This window comes from Homo sapiens, chromosome 2 (genome assembly GCF_000001405.40).
Source record: "Homo sapiens chromosome 2, GRCh38.p14 Primary Assembly".
NCBI lineage: Eukaryota > Metazoa > Chordata > Mammalia > Primates > Hominidae > Homo > Homo sapiens.
Genome location: NC_000002.12, coordinates 202055979 through 202079900, shown reverse-complemented (window position 1 = coordinate 202079900; position 23922 = coordinate 202055979). Strand labels below are relative to the sequence as shown.

Below are 23922 nucleotides of genomic sequence, written 5' to 3'. Positions count from 1 at the left end.
ATACATTATTTAATCAATGTCACATTGTTTGTATTTATCCCACCCCAAATTATGATTACTTAGGTTTTATAGCTATTTGATGTCTCAATAATGGGAAGCTGAATAAATTAAAGGCCTCAAGAAGAATGGTTTCAACTTTGGAAATGCTAAACAAGATTTCCTTCTGTTAAAAAACAACAACAACAAAAAACCAACCAAGCGACATATTTGTGTGTATCCAGAAGTCTAAGAATGCTGACCTCTGATTTCTTGACTTAACATTTATCTTTACCCGTAAGGAGTTGGGCCATCAAGAAAGTTCAAGGGTGGATGTATGCTGAGCTATAAACTCCAGACGGGTTGCCACATGTGTGCTGTCAGATCCAGGGAGTTGGAGGTGTTGTGAGATGCTTTAAACCTTGACTTGCACCTTTCTGCGACAGCCTGTATTCTTACAGGTCTGGGTGGGGCCTGAGTCATGCAGGTTTCTTGATTCACAGTCCAGCCAAGAACAGATCCTTCCGTGAGCAGCACTATTACTCTACCCCTTTTTCCATCCTCACTTTGGCTCTTTGACTTTGAGTGTAGTGTTTTAAACTCTTGAACTATCCTATTTGGACAAAGAAATACTCACCCTAATGGACAGATGGTGTGGTTATTGGTGGACTCAACTTGCAGCACTGTTTGCCATTCCATTTTCCTCCCCGAAGCCTCTCACCTTGATTTCCAGGGTCAACTGTCTACCTCTTTCAAAGCTATAGATTTTTATTTTATTTGTAAAATCCCGTAGTTTAAAAAATATATTTGGTAAAAAGAAATGTATCAGCCTCCTGAGTAGCTGGGATTACAGGCGTGCATCACCACTCCCAGCTAATTTTTTGTATTTTTAGTAGAAACGGGGTTTCACCATGTTAGCCAGGCTGGTCTCGAACTCCTGACCTCAGATGATCTACCTGCCTTGGCCTCCCAAAGTGCTGGGATTACAGGTGTGAGCCACCACACCCGGTCAATAATCACTTTTTTAAAAACAGATTTATATTAGAGAGGTGATGTTTTCTATGTGGCCTAGTCTCACATTCTGGTGCAGTGATTTACTTGGCTGTATAACTTTGAGTGAGTCACTCGAGTTCTCTGTGCTTCTATTTCCTCACCTTTAAAGTGGATAATAATAGTACTTATGCCCAGGATTATTAGAAAGCATAAATGAATTATACTTGGAAAGCACTTAGAATAGTGGCAAAAATAACACAACTACTCAAAAAAAGTTAATGAACACTGGTATTTTTATTATATGAATACATTTTTGTAATCTGCTTTAAAAAAATACATTCCAGGCCAGGCATGGTGGCTCACACCTGTAATCCCAGCACTTTGGGAGGCCAAGGTGGGTGGATTTCTTGAACCTAGGAGTTCGAGACCAGCTTGGGCAACAGAGCTAGACCCCATCTCTACAAAAATACAAAAAATTGGCCCGGCATGGTGGCATGAGCCAGTAGTCTCAGCTACTGGGGAGGCTGAGATGGGAGGACCACTTGAGCCCAGGAGTTTGAGGCCGCAGTGTGCTGTGATGGTGCCACTGCACTCCAGCCTGGGTAACAGAGGAAACCCTGTCTCAAAACAAAACAAAAGAAAAACATTGTGCAGATTTTCTCATGTTATTCATGACTAACACATGACTTCATTGCTTGACCCAGGTCATTACATGATTTACCAGAGTTCATTTGATCAATGTTCCATTGCTGGGCATTTACTGTTTTCAGTGTTTTGCCTAGTAATAAAGAACCCTGTAGTCAATGTTTTTCTGCATAGATCTTTGAACATACATCTGATTATGTCCTAGGGCCAGCTCCTAAAAGTGGAATGTTGAATCAAAAGGTATCAGCCCCTTTTAGGCTTTTGCCAAATTGCCCTCCAGAAATGTCATGTGAATTTGTGCTCCTAACATGTGAGACTGCTGTTTCCCTATAGCTGTCCTGGCACTGGGTATTATGATTTTAAAAGTTTCTTGCCAGGCTGTTGTTTTCATAGTCAGATGGTACTCTATTTTCCGAAGCTTCTGAGGTGTTCCTTTCCTTTTCTTTTCTTTTTAAATAATTTGTATTATTTTTATTTTGATAGAAACAGGGTCTCATTATGTTGCCCAGGCTGGTCTTGAACTCCTGGGCTCAAGCAATTCTCCTGCCTCTGTTTCCCAAAGTGCTGGATTACAGGTGTGAGGCACTGAGCCCAGTGTGTTCATTTTCTTTAATTCGAAGTCCCTTTTGAGTTGCTTCTCCTCCTCTTTTAATCTACTATGTCCGTTAATCTTAAACTCCAGCCCTGTACTCTTCCATACGTTTTCTTTTCTCTAATTTCTTCACACCATTTCCCTCTACTCATGTGGAGTTAGACTACATATTCTGTTTTGTACAGATATGAGCTATAAATTTAGAAGATGGATGCCACAGGAAGATAGCAACTTCTTTTTTTCATTGAGCCCAAATATAACCAAAAATGAAACTCACCCCAAACTGACTTATCTACTTTATAAACTATTAAGATCTCTGTTACCTGAAGTATTTAGCCTTATAGACAAGCATCTGAAGACGATGGAAGGTATTCTTACTCTGGGCAGTGAGTTAGCCTATATATCACTCAGTGTCCAACCAGGAAAATAGAAACTAAGTAAACACAGAAGGAATTTGATTTAGGGAATTGGTTGTACAGGTGATTGGAGACCTCAGAAGCCAAACAGCTGGGGGGGCAACATTGAGATCAGTAACATCAGGAAGCCAGCACCACACTTACGCTAGAAGGACAGAGGGAGGAGCTGGTGGGGTCACCTGGAGGAGCTGGGGGTCATAGTGGGCCTGTCTGTTGAGAGCTGTATCACAGAGGTAATGCAGATGCTTCTTTTCACTTGAGGCAGAGTGGGAAGGGAGAAATACTGTGGTCTTCCTCTTCTTCTCCCTCTCCAATCTCTTTCCAGCGTCTCCCATTGGCAAATTCAACTAGAAGCCAGTGGACACAGATGTTTGCAGAATTGTATATAGCCTGTGGTCAACCTGCCTGTGATGCAGAGCAGAGCAGGGGAAGGGAACAGAGGGAATCTGAGACAAACAGGCCATGACCAGCACAATGACCAGTGGACCACTGGAGTCCCTTCGAGTCCACAAACAACAGGGCAGAGTGCAAAGTATGCAGGCCCTGGTGAGGTAGGCAGTCCTGGATTTGAATTCTGGCCTTGTCATTTAGTAGCTCTCTGGCCTTGGGCAAATCACTTATCTACCCTGAGCTTTGGTTTCCTCATCTATACAAGGAGGCAAGAAAAACTATATCGCACAGGGTCTTTGTAGGGATTAAATAAAATAATATTTAGCTATAATGCAACATTATAGCATTCAACAATTGGTTTTCTTTTATTCAAGAATTTATTATTTTTAAGTTAAAGAGCATTGGGCATTCAGTCAGGATCATCAAGCTTCTCTATTTTGAAAGATGAAAAGAGGGCAGAGGAGTCTTTTCTTTTGGAAGCTCTGCCTGGCATGGGGGTAGGTGATAAATTGTCCAACAATGATTCTGGGAGATGATCTAAGAAACATTGAAAATATCATGCATGACCAAGTCATTAATTCCACAAACATTTGTGGGTACTCTTTCTGGAAATGATTTAGACATGGTCCCCATATTGGAAGAGATGTTAATCCATCAGGAATGACAGTCAAAGAAATAAATTTCAGTGCATGACGGTATGGGAATGTTTGCAGAGGAGGGAGGCATGAGCTATCTCTGCCTAGGCAAGTGGGAGAAGGCTTCAGTGAGGGGATGGTATTTAAGTTGTGTTTTGAAGGATGGGTGGGAGCTTGCCAGCTGTAGAGGTGTGTGCAAAAATGGAGAGTCATGAAAGGGCACAGGTGTTGGGGAATGATGAGCTAATCACATGGGTGGGGCCTTATGGCGTCCATGATGGAAGTGGTACAGGAACAGGTGGGAAATGTGGCTAGACATGGAGCAGAAAAGCCAATGTGTGAAAGGCCTGATAGAAGAAGCTAATGACTTTATTTTGTGGGGAATGAAAAGTCAGTAAACACTTTTAAATTAGGGAGTCACCCACCATTTCTAACCTAGAATTTTATAAAGTGACACATCTTCCCAGACTATCTTATGGCCTCAGCCAAAGGGCTGATGCATGCAATTATATAAAGCAGGGGCCAGATGCACATCTCACAAGACATTAGGAAGTATGAATCAGAAAAATGAACACAGGTGTTTTCCCTTAATATTGTATTCAGGATGGAAAAAGTCATTAACTTATCCTGCAGACGCTGAAGGGCTCAAGGTAAATATTTAAAATGTTCTCCCTCTCATTTCCACAGAGCCAAGAACATCAGAGGTGGGATGATGATGCTTGTGGCTATGAGACAGGATTTCAAGGATCCTGATGAAACGTCTGCTGGCCTGAATCTGTCTGAATGCTGAAAAGGACTTTGTGTTACTCTAACTGAAAGGAAAACATAAAATGATGATAATGTAGCCCTTTATGGTTTTCAGATCCCTTTCACATACATTATCTCATTTAAGCTTTGTGACAATGGTGTGCAGCAGATAGGGCTAAGAGTACAGTCAATCTCATTTTAGAGATGAAGAAATAGAGTTCTGAGAGTTTCATACCTTCCCCGGGTCCAAGAAATTATTCCCAAAGCTGCAACTGGGTTTCTAGACATGCTACCAGCACCTTCCCCAAACCCAAGGGAGCGTTCTGCCTACCTGCTGCCTTCCATATGCCAGGATGGCTTCTTTGAGGTCTTGAAGTGTGTGCAGTTCAAGATCCAGCTTCCTCCAGGGACCTCTGGGGCAGTAGGGGCCTTTTCTCCTCTCTTTGGGTGTCCATGCCGAAATGGCAAAACCTTCTGAGTACAGGATCAGGGCACCCTTTCTAGTACTGAAAGTTTTAGGGAGAAAGAGGCTCCAGGAGTGCTGACTGGCATTGTTCTTATCTTGAGGTTTGCTGACAGGAACATAGTCTTCTGGGGACCTCCAGTTCAAGTAATCCTGCAATGAGAAGCAGCCACTTTGACGGAGCCACTGTGGAAGACCTTTCTATAGCAAATACTGCTTGTGCAAAGCCTTCGGCATTTTTTTAGTTACTGATTTTCTCTGAACTGTTCACATGGTGTTATGGAACACAATTGCTCTTCTTAGCAACTGCCTTTTCTCTCCACATTTCAAAATTAGTAGAACCCAGGGCATGGTTCTATTTCACCCCATACAACTTTCAGGAGAGTCATGTATGGCTGGAGGATTAACTCAGCTTGTATGTAGGTTACAGGCCAGTTAAAGTTTCCTGGTATGCAAGTAAGTGGTCAGAATTATTAAGGGCAGCAGATAACTTTGAAATTAGACCTGGACTAGCTGGCAGTTTAAATAGGAGCATTCCAAGCCACCACCACTTCAGCTGTACGTGGGGAGAATTTCTATACATTCCAGATGCTATGTAACATTACCTAATTTGGCTATTTAGGGGCCTATAAAGCAGTTACATATCTTGTAGGTAAGAAAATGCCATTGGCCATACAGGTCCTTTGAAACTTTATATGCCGTTTAACACAGCAAAGGTCAAATATCATGACAAAGTACCATGACAATGGAAATCTCTGTATGACCCCCAAATTTGCAAAGTATCCCCAATAGGTTTCTTATCCCTGGCAGGATTCAAGTGAAATAAAAATCTAGTATAACAAGGGAATTTTGCCACCTCTTTAAAATCTTCTAAAATGAGGTGGGTTTTTTTTTGGCCTATATTAAATATGAGTCCTGTGGGTTGAATTCCAGAAAGTTCAAGGAAGCCATTGAAATGGCATGAACACACACAGCATTTCAACTGCAGAGCACGACTTCCAAAAACCAAACAACCATCAGTTTGCCTAGAACCCAGGTGGAAATTCTGGTCTTGCACCAAACCATCCAAATTCCAGACAATCTGGAATCTCCTTTGGTCCAAGCAAAGACAGCTACAAGGGGAAAGATGAGGGCCTCAGGGGCAATCTCGGTGTGTCAGGAAAATGATGTTATTTTCTTGAGTTTCATGAAGGAGGAAGGAAGATCTTCCAGTGACCCCGCCACCTCACTAACAACACAAACCAAGACACACATGGTTTACCTCCCAAGTGGAAACATAGAGCATTCCTCTCCCACCTCCAAAATGTGCCTTTCTTCAGCTGTGGGACTCACCTCTGGTTCAAAGTAGACTTCTAACTTCTGTTTGTCCTGGCCCAGCTTCCCGTGGCCCCGGCTCAGGAGGGAGAGCGTGAACATGTTTCCCTCTGACCACCCCTTCTCAAGGGCAGTCCATCTTGGTTTTGAAGGCTGAAATCTGGTCACACCTCAAGATTTCCAGAGCTCACAGCAAGCCCAAGAAGACCACAAACACAGGGCCTTTTATTAAATACATTTTTCCCTCTCGCAGCAGCTTCTTAGTAACAACCAGCCACACAGTTTAGACAGTGTGTGTCTTTGTGGAGAGAAAAAATAAACCGCACAGCCAGCCTCCTCAAGCCCTGGATTGTCTACTCTCTGGGCGACCTGTCTCTCCCCTTCTCCTGAGCTCTTGTTGTCCCTTGGTCCCGGTTGCTCTGTTACCAGCCGTGTGCATCTACAGATCTCGGCCACAGCACCATCCTTCTTGTCTGAGCGGAGGTTGTTTCCTGGTTGCTATGGCAGCACAGGGAAATGAAGTCCCTTAAACTAACCCAGGCAAGGCAGAGACGGGTGCCGGGTGCAGTGTGCATTCCCCGGGGATGGGGGTGGGGGTCAAATGGACACTGAAGGGACCAGGCTCAGGTTGCAAGTCCCAGTTGCATGGGGTGGGGGACTTGTTGGGGTACTTTTTCTGTTATTGTTCTCATCTTGTTTTTAGAGAGCGTCTTCCCCTCTCTCCTGATATGTGAGCCTGTCACTGTCAACTAACCATTAACAGAGCCAGGGTGTAATCTAGGTCACCTAAAACCACCTGTGACTTTTTCCTTGGCTGAGCTCCATCATCCCCTCAACTGGACACGAGACCTCATTATGGTAGTTGCTGCTTTGCCTGAGCGGGAGACACTGGGATTCTCTAGCTTCCTTTGCATACCTGGTTCTCAACTGGGCAAGCTATCCCCTGATGGGGGTGCTCTGGAAATGTGGGTGGGGGACATTTTGGTTGTTGCAATGATTGGGGGTCTTGCTGGCATTGATCAAGCAGAGGCCCCAGATGCTAAATGTTCTACATGGTGTGAAATTCCCACATAGTGATGAACTGTCCCACTAGAATGCCAGGAGCACCTGCTTTGAGAAGCACTGTGTAGCCTGGGATGCTTGGGTCTCTTTAACAGTGACATTGTGACGAGCACAGACAGGAGGGAAGAGGGTCAGGAAACAAAAAGACCCCTTTGCTGGGGATCTAGGAACCTGCTCAAGCCTGGAAAAGCAAGCTGCCTGTTAGCTGTCAGCTGAACTACCCTGGCAGTCTTGTGGGAGTGCCCACTGCTGGCCTATATGAAGAAGCACAACAGGCTACAAGCCCACTTACCTTTTTGATCTTCCTATGTGGCACTTTCCCCTCCCCCTCTGACCCCTCCACCCCCAACCAAGTTCAAGTCTCCTGAGAAAGAAATAGAGGTTCTGTTGTAAAATAAAATAGGGTTTATTAGGGGGAATCAAGACAGCGAATGAGTGAATGCAGAGGCTCCAAACAGAATTTAATCAAAACCACAATGAGATACCACTTCACACCTACTAAGATGGCTATTATTAAAAAACAAAAACAAAAACAGAAAATAACAAGTATTTGGTGAAGATACGGAGAAATTGAAAACCTTGTGCATTGCTGTTGGAAATGCAAAATGGCGCAGCCTCTGTAGGAAATGGTATGACAGTTTCTAAGAAAATTAAACAGAATTACCGTATCACCAGTAATTCCACTTCTGGGTCTGTATACCTAAAGGAGGTGAAAGCAGGGTCTCAAAGAGATATTTGTATACTCATATGCAGAGCAAAACTGTTTATAAGAGCCAAAAGGTGGAAGTAACTCAAGTGTCCATCGACAGATGAATGAATCAACAAAATGTAGCATATGCATACAATGCAGTATTATTCAGCCTTAAGAAGGAAGGAAATTCAGTTGGTCACCATGGCTCATGCCTGTAATCCCAGCACTTTGGGAGGCCGAGGTGGGCGGATCACCTGAGGTCAGGAGTTCGAAACCAGCCTGGCCAACTTGATGAAACCCCGTCTGTACTAAAAATAAAAATTTAGCCAGGTGTGGTGGCACACGCCTGTAGTCCCAGCTACTTGGGAGGCTGAGGCAGGAGAACCGCTTCAACCTGGGAAGCGGAGGTTGCAGTGAGCCGAGATCATGCCACTGTACTCCAGCCTGGGCAACAGAGTGAGACTCCATCTCAAAAAAAAAAAAAAAAAAAAAAAAGGAAGGAAATTCAGACATATGCTACAACACGCATGTACCTTGAAGACATTACACTAAACAAGATAAGCCAATCATGAAAGAACAAACATTGTATGATTTCTCTTATGTGAAGTACTTAGAGTGGTCTGATTCACAGAGACAGAAAGTTGAATGGTAATTGACAGGGGCTGTCAGGGAGAGGGGAATGGAACATCAGTGTATAGTGGGTACAGAGTTTCAGTATGAGAAGATGAAAAAGTTCTGAAGGTGGATTCACAACAATATGAATGTACTTAATGTCAATGAACTGTAAACTTAAAAATGTTAAAATGGTCCATTTGAGCCAGTGCAGTGGCACACACCTGTCATCCCAGCTACTCCGGAGGCTGAGGCAAGAAGATCCCTTGGGCCCGTGAGTTTGAGTTCAGCCTTAGTGACAATGTGAGATCTCATCTCTAAAACGAAAGTAAATTTATGTTACATATATTTTACTACAATTAAAATTTTTTTCCGGTTGGTTGTGGTGGCTCATGCCTGTAATCCCAGCACTTTGGGAGGCCAAGGCAGGTGGATCACTTGAGGTCAGGAGGAGAACAGCCTGCCCAACATGGTGAAACCTCGTCTCTACTAAAAACACAAAAATTAGCCAGGCATGGTGGTGTGCCTTAAGAAGGAATCCCAACTGTAATCCCAACTGCTTGGGAGGCTGAGGCATAAGAATTGCTTGGGGAGGTGGAGGTTGCAGTGAGCCGAGATGGCACACTCTAGCCCGGGCGACAGAGTGAGACTCCATCTCAAAACAAAAATAGAAACAAAAAAGAAAACAAAACTGCAGGTCATGTGGACAGAGATGCAAGGACAAAGGTCAGCTGGCCAAGGCCATGAAGGCTGCATATACCGTGCTGAAGCATTTTGAATTTTATTCTTCAGGTAGGTTTTTGTTGTTGTTGTTGTTTTTGTTTTGTTTTGTTTTTTAGAGGCAGGGTCTCACTACATTGCCCGGGATGGTCTCGAACTTCTGGGCTCAAGCGATCCTTCTGCCTCAGCTTCGCAAATAGAAACCACATGAAACAGAAAATAGATGCTGTTCAATGGCCACCTCCCAGCACATTCAGGAGTGTATCCCTTGTTCCAAAATGCTTGGAGTAAATGAATGCCACTCTGGAGAAGTGGCCTATGTGATACTGTCAGAACCTTTATCCCTCTTTAAAAGGAAGTGTAATCATGTTTTCTAGTATTTTATTCATCTTTAGGGGCAATCTATAAGGAGAGTCCTTAATGTTGCCCTTGTTACCTTGGGATTACAGGCGTGAGTCATTTGTACCCCCAGGTAGGTTTTATTAAAGCAGGGGGGTGATATTATTCCATCTGGGTTTTTAGAAAGATAACTCTGAGAAGCTTATAAAGGATGGATAGAAGGAGGAATCCTTATCTCATCAACCTCTGGGTGAACTTTCAAGACTTGCAACCCAGGCCAGTCTTCTCTTGGATATGAATGAACTTGTCAAATAGGTCAGGAAAAATCACCAGTTAAGTGGTCTTTGAGTAAGACAGAAGGGGAAACTCTATACCAGCTGCAAAGAAAGATAAATCTTGCCGTTTTGAAAGTGCCATTGCTCAAGAAAGAGAGAAAAGCAGCATAAGAGGAACTTAATGGAGGCCTTGGGACCTGAATGAGAACCACCATCGTTAGCCAAGGAATGGTTCCAAGTTTCTCCAGAGGAGATTCTTTCTCTGAACTCACCTGACTTTGAAATGTTAACTCATCCATACGCAGTGAACCAGGGCGCCAAGGAGTGCTCTTTCTGAGTCTAGGTTGAGTGAGCTTATCACCTAGGAAAACGCCTAGGAGTGTCCATCTGGCCCTCCCAAGGCTGTGGCAAGCCTTCCGGGTCTCTGTGGGGCAGCAGTAATCTGTAAGCAGCCAGACCACAGCCTAAAGCGGGCCTCTCCTAAACCATCGTGTTTACATCTATGCTGTTTAATATGGACAATGAACAGATCCACAGACCAATTAATAGTCATTTAAAAGCATTTACTCAGTCCCCACAACAGTTTATAGAAAGTACATTTAGAAAGCAATCCGGGTTATTGCTATTCTAAAGTGCTTGGGGATCCCAGATGAAAGGCCCTTGTAACTGGAAAGTATTTATAACTCAAGAAGAACCCCTCCACACCCATGTTATACAACACCAACACCATCTCCTGGCACGCCTGACCTGTCGGCCCATGCAGCAAGTCTGTTTGAATTACACTGTAACTTCTATAGGGTGGAGACCTTGTTTTTATGGTTTGTAAAACATCATGAATAACCATGGCACTCTGTAAATAAATAGAAACCACATGAAACAGAAAATAGATGCTGTTCAATGGCCACCTCCCCAGCACATTCAGGAATGTATCCCTTGTTCCAAAGTGCTTGGAGTAAATGAATGCCACTCTGGAGAGGCGGCCTATGTGATACTGTCAGAACCTTTATCCCTCTTTAAAAGGAAGTGTAATCGTGTTTTCTAGTATTTTATTCATCTTTAGGGGCACTCTACGAGGAGAGTCCTTGGTGTTGCTCTTGTTAATGAAAGAGTAAAGATCAGTGCACAGAGAGATGAAATGATTTGCATAAAGCCATAGAGCAAACCAGAGGTGAAATGGGACCTTGTCCAAATTTGGTTCCAATTTCAGCCTGTTGTTCTTCCTGTAATACTTCTGGAATAGAGTAGTAGCAGTTCTTCATAAGAAGCCCCATCATGGCTCTCAGAGAGCAGCTATGACTTTGGCCCCCGCTACCCGCTTCAGCCATGAAGTGGTGACTGGGCCCTGGACCTCTGGTCTGGCTGCCATGACTACTTCTAAGCACTCAGATCTCCCCAACCTCGCTTCTCTTAACTTCATTTTGTAAATCTAGTTGGAAGGAAGTCTAGAAAATAAAGTTTGCTGCTTTCTAGCTCTTGCACCAGAGGGAATGTAGAATAAAAGTTGATAGAGCCAACTACAGTTATCTACCATAAGCACCAAAGACAAGTTGTATGAAAAAGTCAAAACAAAAGATTTTTAAAAATATGGGCTGTGAGGCTGGGCACGGTGGCTCATGCATGTGATCACAACACTTTGGGAGGCCAAGGATGGCAGATCACTTGAGCTCAGGAGTTCAAGAGCAGTCTAGGCAACATGGCAAAATCCCTCTGTCTGTACCAAACATGTAAAAAATTAGCCAGTCTGTCTACAAAAAATAAAAAATTAGCTGGGTGTGGTGGTGCATGCCTGTAGTCCCAGCTACTCCAGAGGCTGAAGTGGGAAGATTGCTTGAGCGCAGAAGGTAGAGGCTGCAGTGAGCTGTGATCACACCACTGCACTCCAGTCTGGGAGACAGAGCAAGATCCTGTTTAAAAAAAAATTTAAAAGATGGGCCATGTACATGACAAGCAGCAACGCCTTACATTATTAAGGCTTTCAATTTGCTTGTGTTTTATGTCCCAACTAGACTTGAAGTCTTTGGAAGGTAGAGACTACATCTTACAATTCTTTTTTTTTAAGAGACAGGGTCTTGCTTTGTCACCCAGGCTGAATGCAGTGCTGCGATCATGGCTCACTACAGCCTTGACCTCTGGGGCTCAGGCAGTACTCCTACCTCAGCCCCCTGTACTGCTGGGACTACAGGCATACTCCACCATGCCTGGCTAATTTTTTATTTTTTGTAGAATGGGGTCTCACTATGTTGCCCTGTCTGGTCTCAAACTCCTAGATTCATGTGGTCCTCCTGACTCAGCCTCCCAAAGTTACATGTGTGAGCCACTGTGCCTGGCCAATATCTTAAAATTCTTAATACTCCCCATAGCATAGAACCCCTTGCATTATAGTAGCAGCTGATTGAATACTTGTCATTTTGCTTTTTAGCATGCCCAAAGAGATGTATAATTGTCTTTGAGCCAGTATGAAAAATATAGAAAAGAAGAGAATTGGGTCAAATCCTGTTTTAGTAGTTGGTAGTTTGCTATAGTACAAAGCTCAGACCCATAGGTTAAAGGTGCTGACCAACTCAAGGCTTAGTACACAGGCTGAAAGCACCCTAACAATCAGTGTAGAAGATAAAATCCTCTGAACTTGTCAGAAGAAGCACAGACCTGCTAAGGATAAGTTACTTGGCTTATTCAGAGACTATGGCTAATTTCTTATGTGGCCCAGGCCAGGTGTGAAAGAAGAAAATGCGAAAGGCAACAAAGAATACTCTGGAATCATAGCAAGAGAGAGAGTGTCAGCCTTGGATTTCTGCTTCCTTTCTCTCCTTAGCTATAAATTATGGCTGCATGGCCTGTCTAGTTCAGAGCGAAGGGACTAGGGATCTATTTATTTTAGATCTTTCTGAAGGGTTTGCTGTGGGAGTCTAAAATATTTAGTTATCCCTTTGCTCATGGCTTCACTTTATTAGTAGGAAAATTCACTGTAATTGCAAGCTTTTAAATTTACGGTGGAGAGATAGTGAGTTTGTAGAAGAAATAAAAGCCACACATTCTTGGTTCTTTCATAACATGGGGAAAATCAATCACCACCTGGCTGGCAGCTCAGTTACTTGGGGCAAAAATAACAAACTTCCATAGGAACCAACCTATGGAGGGTGACAGGAGCAGGGATGATTTTAATTCTAAAGGGAGGATCTTAGAGCAGATGTCATTCATTGATACTGCATGGATTCTGATAATTTAGCATTGTTGAACATTAGAGTAATAAAATGTAATAATAACATAGCAATGTTTGATCTATGTTGTTTGGTGGTGGGTAAATTTTTCTTTTGATTTTCATTAAATACTGTTACAATGATGTTTATGTAATTAGCAAATGAAATGATTTGTGTCAAGCACCGAGTCTTGTGCCAGGCACATAGTACATGCTCAATAAATAGAAAATATTGTTTTTTGTTTTTGTTTTTGTTTTTTTGAGATGGAATCTTGCTCTGTTGCCAGGCTGCAGTGCAGTGGCATGATCTCGGCTCACTGCAACCTCCGCTTCCCAGATTCAAGTGATTCTCCTGCCTCAGCCTCCCAAGTAGCTGGGACTATAGGCGCGTGCCACTACGCCCAGCTAATTTTTGTATTTTTAGTAGGGACAGGGCTTCAACATGTTGGCCAGGATTGTCTCTATCTCTTGACCTCGTGATCCACCCGCCTCGGCCTCCCAAAGTGCTGGGATTACAGGCATGAACCACCACACCCGGCTGAAAATATTGTTTAATGAATAATTCCATCTCACAATTCAGAATATACATGAATTGTCTCCCACTATTAGCACACACTAGTGAGGTTTGGTTTTATTTTAGAGATGGGGGTCACGCTGTGTTGCCCGGGCTGGTCTTGAATTCCTGGGCCCAAGTGATCCTCCCATCTCAGCTTCTCAAGTAGCTGGAGCTACAGATAAGTGCCACTGTGCCCAGCTCAGCAGTGAGGTTTTGCTGCACAAATGGATGCTCTGAAAGTCATTTCCTCACAACAGGAAATCTAATATATATAGATAGTAAGTCACTAGACTGCCTAACCAGACGCTTCTCTGTCAACTGGCTTCCAGCTCACCATTTTAACTCTATGATGAGAATAATTTTTATATTTTCTGATTATCACAGAGTGAAAATTGTGAACCCTGTGCTGATCATTTTAGATAAATGTTAATGTGATGTATAAAACATGTATCTTTGTAGGGACATACCAACACCCAAGGTATACACAAATTCTCTTCCCACTCTTTGCCCACACTGGTGAGATTTTGATGTTCAAATTGACGTCCCCATCCTTAGCCCCCAGAGGGGAGCAGCCAGGGAGCTGCAGCTGACAATCTGAGGAAGAGGAAGGGTGTCAGGGAGCCTGGGTGTGGGGAGAATCTTCCCCTCAAGACCCACATATTGCTAGAGTTCTCCTTGTGAACCAAGGAGCCCCTAGCCCACAGGTAACCTCACTGCCTGTTTTTCAACCTTTATAGTTTCCTTTGGAAAAGCATTCACATCTTCCTGAGAACTGAGATAAGATGCTAGTACCTTTGCAGAGATTGAATTAATCAAGCTGTGCAGGAATGGAACCCAGAGTGGATGCCTGGATTGGGGATTGATGGAAGAGGGAGAGGAAGAAGTGGGACAAGATGGAGGAGTCCTGGGAGGTAGGTCGGGAGGCCCATCTACAGCAGCTTTGCCTGTTCCCCATTTTCCCAGCCAGCAGCCTGTGTCCATACTCCTCCAGCCAACAATCTGAACATGAGGCATAGGCTGCCAATCTCCAGCTGGCCCTAGAAGGCTCTGAAGTATACATTTAAGGAAGAGGGGAAGCATTTCCTCCTTATCTCATAGAGCAGACCCACCTGGGGCAGCAAAGTCCCTTCTCCAAAGGCTAAGAGATCACATAAAACTCAACCACAAGTTAAGAGGAGTCATTAGTGTTCTAACATGTACGATCAGACATGAGCAGTGCCCTCTGCGGAGCGTCATCCTCCCCACCAACCCTTGCTTGTGCCCATCTCTTAGCCAATCCACTCTAAAGCAGGTGTCCAGAGGAGCTGTTAGTCAAGCAGGGAGAACAACTTTGAAATGGCACATTCCAGTGGGAGATACTGACAGAAGGGGTGGCTTGGCTTTTTCAGATTTTACCATAATCCTTCTCTTGACTCACTGTCTAGACATAGGTGCACAAAGGGTTAACAGGCCTTGTAGGACTCAGCTGCCAAGTACACTTAATGCTCAGTCCAGCACTCCTGGCTTGTATTCTTATGCTGCTGGAGTGGCCTGTTCATGGCATCTGGTTCCCTGGCAACAGCTTTCATTGGCTCATTCAAAGCCCTTTCTTCTTAAGAAAGCTCCTACTGAGACGCCCACCACCACTATGAATCACCATCTTAACTCTGTGTTTAGGATGCAGTTGGTATGAAAACAGCATTAGTAGATGAGGAAAAAGAAAGAAATGGCCAGGTTAAGTCCACCTGTCTTGCATGAACCTTGCACTGGTTTTCTACTGGGCCAGTGGGAAATTACCTGCTTTTCCACTGGGACAGAGGGAGAGGCTGGGCCAGAAAGTTTCCCAGAGCTGGAGTTCTTTGTTCGGCAGAGATCCATGAGCCTCTGTGATTCATGACTAGCTGTTTCCTGGGCTAATCTGTGATATAACTGTGGGCTCTGTGCTCTGACAAGGGGCGTTGCTGAGCTGAGGGAGTTCAGACAATGAAATCCATATTGTGGAAGGCTTGTTCCCAGCCAGCAACAAGCTGGGGAAAGGCATCTGCCTCCATCAGAACCTGAGGAGTCTGGCAGCTGCTCCACCCTTCCCCAAGACATCTCAGCAGCTCCAGAATTGCTCAGAATAGCAGTGAAAAGTAGCTCTTCAGGCAGCATTCGGAAAAAAGAAAAGTTGACTCGATTCTGTAACTCATAAAGATGGGAATTCTTAGGGGAATTCTTCAGTCTTACTGAGAACCACTTTGAGTTTTCTTGTTTTGTTTAGGGAATAAATAAAATGAGAAGCAACAAAGTGGAGTTAAAGAAGGCAAGCTATTCTCACTTTTGGTTCACCTGTGTCAGTCCATTTGACTCTGTCTTTTTAAAGCAAATTTCATCTCATGCACTCGTGCTCACTGAAATCTAAGTACATAGCATATTCAGGAAATAAAAGTGTTCAAAATTCACAGTAATATTTATTAAAAATGCTGGCTTTTGGCCTGGCCATCCGCTCTAGTATTTGTGCTGCTCTAACCTTCTGATTCCTCAAGAGAAAAGTTGCCAGGTGTAGTGGCTTATGCTTGCAATTGCAACACATTGGGAGGCTGAGGCAGGAGGATTGCTTGAGGCCAGAAGTTCAAGACCAGCTTGGGCAACATACCAAGACTGCCACCCCCATATCTACCAAAAAAATTAAAAAAAAAAAAAAAAGAAAACAGCTATCTTGGTCTTGGTGGTGAGATGTTATGAAAGAGTTGACAAGTCAAAGAAACAGGGTTTGTGACTGCTCTGCTTGAGAGTAAAAACTGCGGTGTGGAAGTGAGCACAGGTCCTTTCCTGCTGCTGTGTAGGCAGATGAATGTCTCTCTGCGTCTGATCCACTGGCTTGTCCACAGCTTAGCAGGATAAAGGCTCTTGGTGGTTCTATATCCACATGTTGTTAAAATATGTTATGAACAGCACTTACCAAAATAATGTATGTTTGAGAGCTATTTGGGAATCAGGCTGTGTGTCCCTTATTAAATGTGTAATGGGCAAGCCTTAATCTCGCTTAGCCTGAGCCTCAGTTTCCTCCACTGGAAAATGGGGATAATAGCACCTCTCATACGGAGGTGTTGCAAGGACTAAGAGAAATGAAGTATCTGTGCACCACCCCCATAGATTCTGATTGAATTGTTCTGGAATAGGGTCCTGGTACTGATAGGTTTTAGAAGCTCCACAGGTGATTCTGATGTTCAGCCAGCATTAAGAATCACAGATGCTGCATATGAAAGGCACTCTGTGGTTATTTATTTTTTAGGCTGAAGAATTCCTCAAATATTATGGATTCCTAGGGATGGAGATGAGAAGGAGATAATATTTACAGAAACAAAATTTCTTTATTGATTTGTCAGATTCTAGAGTTACCTAGACTGTAACAGAAGTATAGCCCAGCGCAGTGGACACATTCTCTCCCCTTTGAGACCTTTCCAGATGAGTCTTTTTTTTTTTTTAATTTTTAAGGAAAAGGGTTTTATTTGGGTCACAGTTCTGCAGGCTGTACATGAAGTGTGGCACCAGCAACTGCTTCTGGTGAGGGCCTCAGGAGGCTTACAATCATGGTGGAAGGTGAACGGGGAGCCGGCATGTCACATCGTGAGAGGGGGGCAAGAGAGGCCCTGATGGATCTTAGTCAAATAGTTTTTTCATTAGAAAAAAACCACATATGGCCAGGCGCAGTGACTCACGCCTGTAATCCCAGCACTTTGGGATGCCGAGGCGGGTGGATCACCTGAGGTTGGGAGTTCGAAACCAGCCTGACTAACATGGAGAAACCCCATCTCTACTAAAAATACAAAATTAGCCGGGTATGGTGGCACATGCCTGTAATCCCAGCTACTTGGGAGAGTGAGGCGGGAGAATCGCTTAAACCCGGGAGGTGGAGGTTGAGGTGAGCTGACATCGCGCCATTGCACTCCAGCCTGGGCAACAAGAGCGACACTCCATCTCAAAAAAAAAACAAAACCACACACACACACACACACACACACACACACACACACACAGAGAGAGAGAGAGAGAGAGACAGAGAGAGAGAGCACCTTCTACAAGAATGTTTTGGGGAGAGATTAAACAGTATAATAGGGATAAATAGATAAATAGTTCATGGCTGGTCTTAATAAAATAGTTTTTCATTAAACACACACACAACACACACACACACACACATATGTATATATATAGAGAGAGCACCTTTTACATGAATGTTCTGGGGGAGAGATTGAATAGTATTATAGGGGTAAATAGATAAATAGTCCCTAGCCTGAGGAAGCTCACAGCCTATTAAGGGAAAATAAGACATGCTACATTGGACCTATATGATCTCAGGCTTACCATGATTAAATAGTAATACCCCAAGTGGCCTTTGTCTGGGGGAAACTTGACTGTGTGACACAGGAGGATTCAAACCCTCTGAAGTGGGGGACTCATTTTCAGCTTGGACTCTAAGCAGGAAGTGCTTATTATCCTTCCCAATAAAGGAAAGCACACTTTGATGAAAGACCAAGAGGCTACTCAGGAGGCTGAGGCAGGAGGATCGCTTCAGCCCAGGAGTTCCAGGCCGCAGTAAGCTATGATTGTGCCACTGCACTCCAACTTGGGTGACGGAGCGAGAATGTCTCAAAAAAAAAAAAAAAAGACCCAGAGAATAAAGACAGAGAACCACACAACCATTTTCATTAGTTAGTAGAATGGATAGCAAGCATTTGTAGGGCATATTTTAGGGAAGAAAATCTTTTTTTTTTTTTTTTGAGATGGAGTCTCGCTTTGTTGCCCAAGGCTGGAGTGCAGTGGCGCGATCTCGGCTCACTGCAACCTCTGCCTCCCAGGTTCACGCCATTCTCCTGCCTCAGCCTCCCGAGTAGCTGGGATTACAGGCACCCACCACCACACCCAGCTACTTTTATTTTGTATTTTTAGTAAAGACGGGGATTCACCCTATTAGCCAGGATGGTCTCGATCTCCTGACCTTGTGATCCACCCTCCTCGGCTTCCCAAAGTGTTGATATTATAGGCGTGAGCCACCGTGCCCAGCAGGAAGAAAATGTTTTAAATACATCAATTGAAAGTTGAGTGGTACTTAAAGGATATATATATATACACACACACACACACACACACACATAAACATATATATAATACATAAACAATGTATGTATGTTTGTTTGTATGTATATATGTTTATGTGTGTATATATACACACATAAACAAAGATAGAACTTTTTGTGGTTAGTAACCAGGTGGGGTAGCCCAAAGCAATGTGGGACACTGGATCTAGAAATCCCAGAACCTTCAAAAAGATTTCAAATTAATCCTCAAACTATTCTTTTGACCACATTTTTGTGAGTTTTCATGAATTCTTTTTAAAAAATGTATAATTATGGATACATAATAGTTGTACATATTTATGAGATACATGTGATTTATTTTTATTTTTATTTTTATTTTCAGGACAGAATTGTGCTTTCACCAAGGCTGGCATGAAGTGGCATGATCACAGCTCACTGCAGCCTCGAACTCCTGGCCTCAAGTGATCCTCCCTCCTCGGCCTCCCAAAGCGCTGGGATTACAGGTGAGAGCCACCGTGTCCAGCCCACATGTGATATTTTGATATAAGAAAGCAATGTGTAATGATCAAATCAGAGTAATTGGTGTATCCATCACCTCAGTCATTTATCATTTCTTTGTATTAGGAACATTCTAATTCCTCTTTTAGTTATTTTGAAATATACAGAACATTATTGTTAACTATAGTACACTATTGTGCTACGGAACACTGGATTTTACTCCTTCTATCTAAGTGTATTTTTGTACCTATTAACCATCCTCTCCGTAACCCCCTCTCTTCACTACCATTTCCAGCCTCTAGTGGCCATTGTTCTATTCTCTATCTCCATGGGTTTGATTTCTTTTTTTTTTTTAGCTTCCACATATGAGTAAAAACATGTACCTGGCTTATTTCACTCAACATAATGTCCTTCAGTTCCATCCGGGTTGTTGCAAATAAGAGGATTTCATTCTTTATTATGGCTGAATATTATTCCATTGTGTCTATACACCATGTTTTAAAAGTCCATTCACCTGTTGACGGAAACAGGTTTGATTCCGTATCTTGGCTATTGTGAATAGTGCCGCAATAAACATGGCAGTATCTCTTCAATATACTGATTTGCTTTCATCTGGAAATATATCCAGCAGTGGAGTTGCTGGATCATATTGTAGTTTTATTTTTAGTTCTTTGAGAAATGTCTATACTGTTCTCCATAGTGGCTGTATTATTGTTAACCATATTTACATTCCCACTGACAGTATATGAGGGTTCCCCTTTCTCCACACCCTCATCAGCTTTTGTTATTGCCTGTCTTTTGGATAAAAGCCATTTTAACTGGGGTGGGATGATATCTCATTGTAGTTTTAATTTGCATTTCTCTGATAATTAGTGAAGTTGAGCATTTTTTTGTATCTCTGTTGGCCATTTGTATGTCTTCTTTTGAGAAATGTCTATTCAGATCTTTTGACCATTTTGATTGGATTATTAGATTTTTTCCTATAGAGTTGAGTTCTCTATATATTCTGGTTATTAATATCTTGTCAGATGGGTAGTTTGTGAATATTTTCTCCCATTCTGTGGGTTGTCTCTTCACTTTGTTGATTGTTTCCTTTGCTGTGCAGAAGCTTTTTTTTGAGATGGAGTCTCACTCTGTCGCCCAGGCTGGAGTACAATGGCTTGATTTCGTCTCACTGCACCCTCTGCCTGCTGGGTTCAAGCAATTCTCCTGCCTCAGCCTCCCAAGTAGCTGGGATTACAGGCACCTACCACCACGCCCAGCTAATTTTTGTATTTTTAGTAGAGACAGGGTTTCATGATGTTGGTCAGGCTGGTCTTGAACTCCTGACCTCAGGTGATCCACCCGCTTTGGCCTCCCAAAGTGCTGGGATTACAGGCGTGAGCCACCACACCTGTCCTGGAAGCTTTTTAGCTTGATGTGATTCCATTTGTTGATTTCTGCTTTGGTTGCCTGTGGTTTGAGGTCTTACTCAAGATATCTTTTCCCAGACCAAAGTCCTGGAGTCGTTCCCCAATGTTTTTTTCTAGTAGATTCATAGTCTTTAATCCATTTTGATTTGATTTTTGTATATGGTGATATATAGGGGTCTAGTTTCATTCCTCTGCATATGGATATCCAGTTTTCCCAGCACCATTTATTGAAGAGCATGTGGTTTCCCCAATGTATGTTCTTGGCACCTTTGCTGAAAATAAGTTGTTTATAAATGTGTGGATGTATTTCTGGGTTCTCTATTCGGTTGGTCTACATGTATGTTTTTATGTCAGTACCATGCTGTTTCAGTTACCATAGCTTTTTAGTATAATATGAAGTCAGGTAATGTGATGTCTGCAGCTTTGTTCTTTTTTCCTCAGAATTGCTTTGGCTATTCCATCTTTTATGGTTTCATATAAATTTTAGGATTTTTTTTTCTATTTCTGTGAAGAATGTCATTGATATTTTGATAGAGATTGCATTGAATCTGCAGTTTACTTTGAGTAGTATGGACATTTCTATTATTTATTTATTTTCTTAGAGCCAGGGTCTTGCTCTGTCACCCAGGCTGGAGTGCAGTGGCATGATCTTAGCTCACTGCAGCCTCCACCTCCTGGGCTCAAGCAACCCTCCCACCTCAGCCTCCCGAGTAGCTGGGACTACAGGCAACTGCAACTGTACCCAGCTAGTATGGACATTTTAAAATTATTGATTCTTCTAATCGATGAACATTGAATATTTTCCCATTTTTTGTGTGTCTTCTTTGATTTCTTTCATCAATGTTTTATAGTTTTTATTGTAGAGCTCTTTCACTCTTTAGTTAAGTTTATTCCTAGGTATCTTATTTGTAGCTATTGTGAATGGGACTACTTTTTAAATTTCTTTTTCAGATTGTTTGCTGTTGGCATATAGAAATGCTACTATTCTTGTATGTTGATTTTGTATCCTGCAATTTCACTGAACTTGTCAGCTGTAGTTATTTTTTGTGGAGTCTTTGGGTTTTTCTAAACATAAGATCGTATCTCCTGCAAACAAGGATAATTTGACTTCTTCTTGTCCAATCAGGATGTCCTTTATTTCTTTCTCTTGTCTGATTGCTCTGGCTGGATTTCACTAACTCTTTAGGGTGGAGAAAGAGATGTATTAGAGCTCCTTGTATATTCTTCAGAGTCACATTCCATACAAGAATATAGCATACGGATGGCAGCCAAGATTCCTATCATGTACCAAGTTCAATCAGTTGGTAGTGACTGCCTAGAAGACTTGATTGGGCATAATTCTGCAGACTCCTGGCTTAGCAAAGAAGAGCTCCATGGATGTTCAGTGATGTCTTCCATAGGCAAGGGAGGGAGAGTGAATTGTGTTACCTATACTGATCTTTGCCAACTCAATATTGTAAACTGTATGGAATTCTCTTTACAGGGTGTGGATTTAATCATTCTTAACAATTCCTTTTGGCATCAACCTAAAGCCAAAAGTTAAAGAACTATGCCACTGATTATTATACTAACTCTAGTTCCTCAATTCCAAGATGCCATGTATTTTAGGTACACTACTGATTTAATAACAGGTTTTAAGGGGGTAAAAACCACTATAATAAATATGAACACTAAAAATAATATTTATCCATATATTCTTTTTCAGCATCTCATTCAGTGTTTGATAATAAACCTCTTTCAGGTGTAGTCTGTGGATTCTTCTGAATCATCTGTAACCATTGGCAGTTGTGCATAGCATCATGGGAATCATCTGTAACCATTGGCAGTTGTGCATAGCATCATGGGAATCATCTGAAACTATTGGCAGTTGTGCATAGCATCATGGGAATCATCTGTAACCATTGGCAGTTGTGCATAGCATCATGGGAATCATCTGTAACCATTGGCAGTTGTGCATAGCATCATGGAGATTCTCTACTTTCCAATCGTGGGCTGGTGATGTTGACCTCCTTAGCAAATGTAGGCTAGGCAGTCTAATTTTTAGCCATATTGTGGAACACCAGGGTTTCATTTGTATTTCCTGTTTGGTTAAACTCATAGTTTTGTCCTTCCCTTAATTAAATTATTCTTTTCTATAGGGTAAAACCTTCTTCCCAAAGTCACCCAGAAGCTTCTGAAAGATGTTTGGAACCTGAGGGTGACTTTTCAATGAATGAGCCGATCACACCAAACTCCTGTAACTTTAAAAATTCTGCTATTTCTCCTGAGATATCTGTCAATTTTTATTGTATATAATTACAGTGCCCATAGTGTAGACTGGCAGTCCTTTTCCTGTGTCCTCTGAAGTGCTTGTCTGATGTTTCGCTGAAAGACATGAAAGTGTAGTCATGCCTTCAGCAATAAATATTTGCTTCACTTATTGTAAATATGCCTCGCTAAGTTCTCCCACAGGCAGACAGTAACAACTCCTTCTCAACTCACTCTCCTGCCAGCAGGTGGCAAATTTCTTTTGACATAAATTATAAGCTGCACTCCAATTTTAGAAATGTTAAAATGTGAGCAAATAAGAGTCTGAGAATAAAGGGAATAAAGCAGATATCTAAATGAGGTAAACTCTGAGGATTCAGATCAAGATTCCAGTGCCCAGAGTAAGAAGATGAGGTGAGCAGCCTCCACCCCCACCTCAGACCCATTCCAGAATAGTCTTCAAGGTTTCATTGTATCTGAGTGTGCTGCATATATACACACACAATATGAAGTAGAAAGTAATGCAAGATAGAAAGCATGAAGCTGTGTAAGAGAGGGACAAGAAAATACCTTGGGAATTCAGAGAGGGATAGAGCACTTCGGTTGGTATAAATCAGGACAGAGGAGTAGGTGGCTTTCAGGAGGATGTTGAAGAAACAGGTACTGAATGGGGCCGTGCGAAGAGAACAGCACCCCGTGGTGGCCATGAAAAGGCACCCCTCAGATCTCTAATTTTGAGGAGTGTAATTGATAGAGGGTTCTAGCTGCTATGCTCTGAGTTGATCACCACATTTTTCTGGAGGCTAAGGTTCTCACAGGCTGCTCCCAGCCAATGACTGCGTATGACAGATGCTATGGTAGCCAGGCTCCATTTTGGGAGATGCTGCAGATATGGGACTCTTCTGATGGGTGACTGGCTCAAGAACTCCCGATATCCTTGAGGAACTTTCTTAGAACTGCACAGCAGTCTGAGACACTTCCATCCAACCTTCCTTCCCTCTCTCCTATGCCCAAGGCGGACCTGTGCCCAGTCTCATGGTTCTCCTGGCTCCTTCCTCATCTTCCTTCACAGGTGTTTTC

At 42.8% G+C, this 23922-nt stretch overlaps 1 protein-coding gene across 3 annotated transcripts in view; it reads right to left on the bottom strand.

The window, feature by feature from the left end:
• The window catches only part of KIAA2012, a 131934-nt gene extending 125288 nt beyond the window's left edge, over positions 1-6646 (bottom strand). For all 3 annotated transcript variants that reach the window (NM_001277372.4, NM_001367720.2, XM_017003112.3), the window contains exons 1-2: positions 6190-6646; positions 4726-5010 (exon numbers count right to left, since the gene is read on the bottom strand). In NM_001277372.4, coding sequence (NP_001264301.2) covers positions 4726-5010; positions 6190-6273 — 369 coding nt within the window. In that variant the 5' untranslated portion in view covers positions 6274-6646. The remainder of the gene's footprint in view (positions 1-4725; positions 5011-6189) is intronic.
• Positions 6647-23922: the final 17276 nt, after the last annotated feature.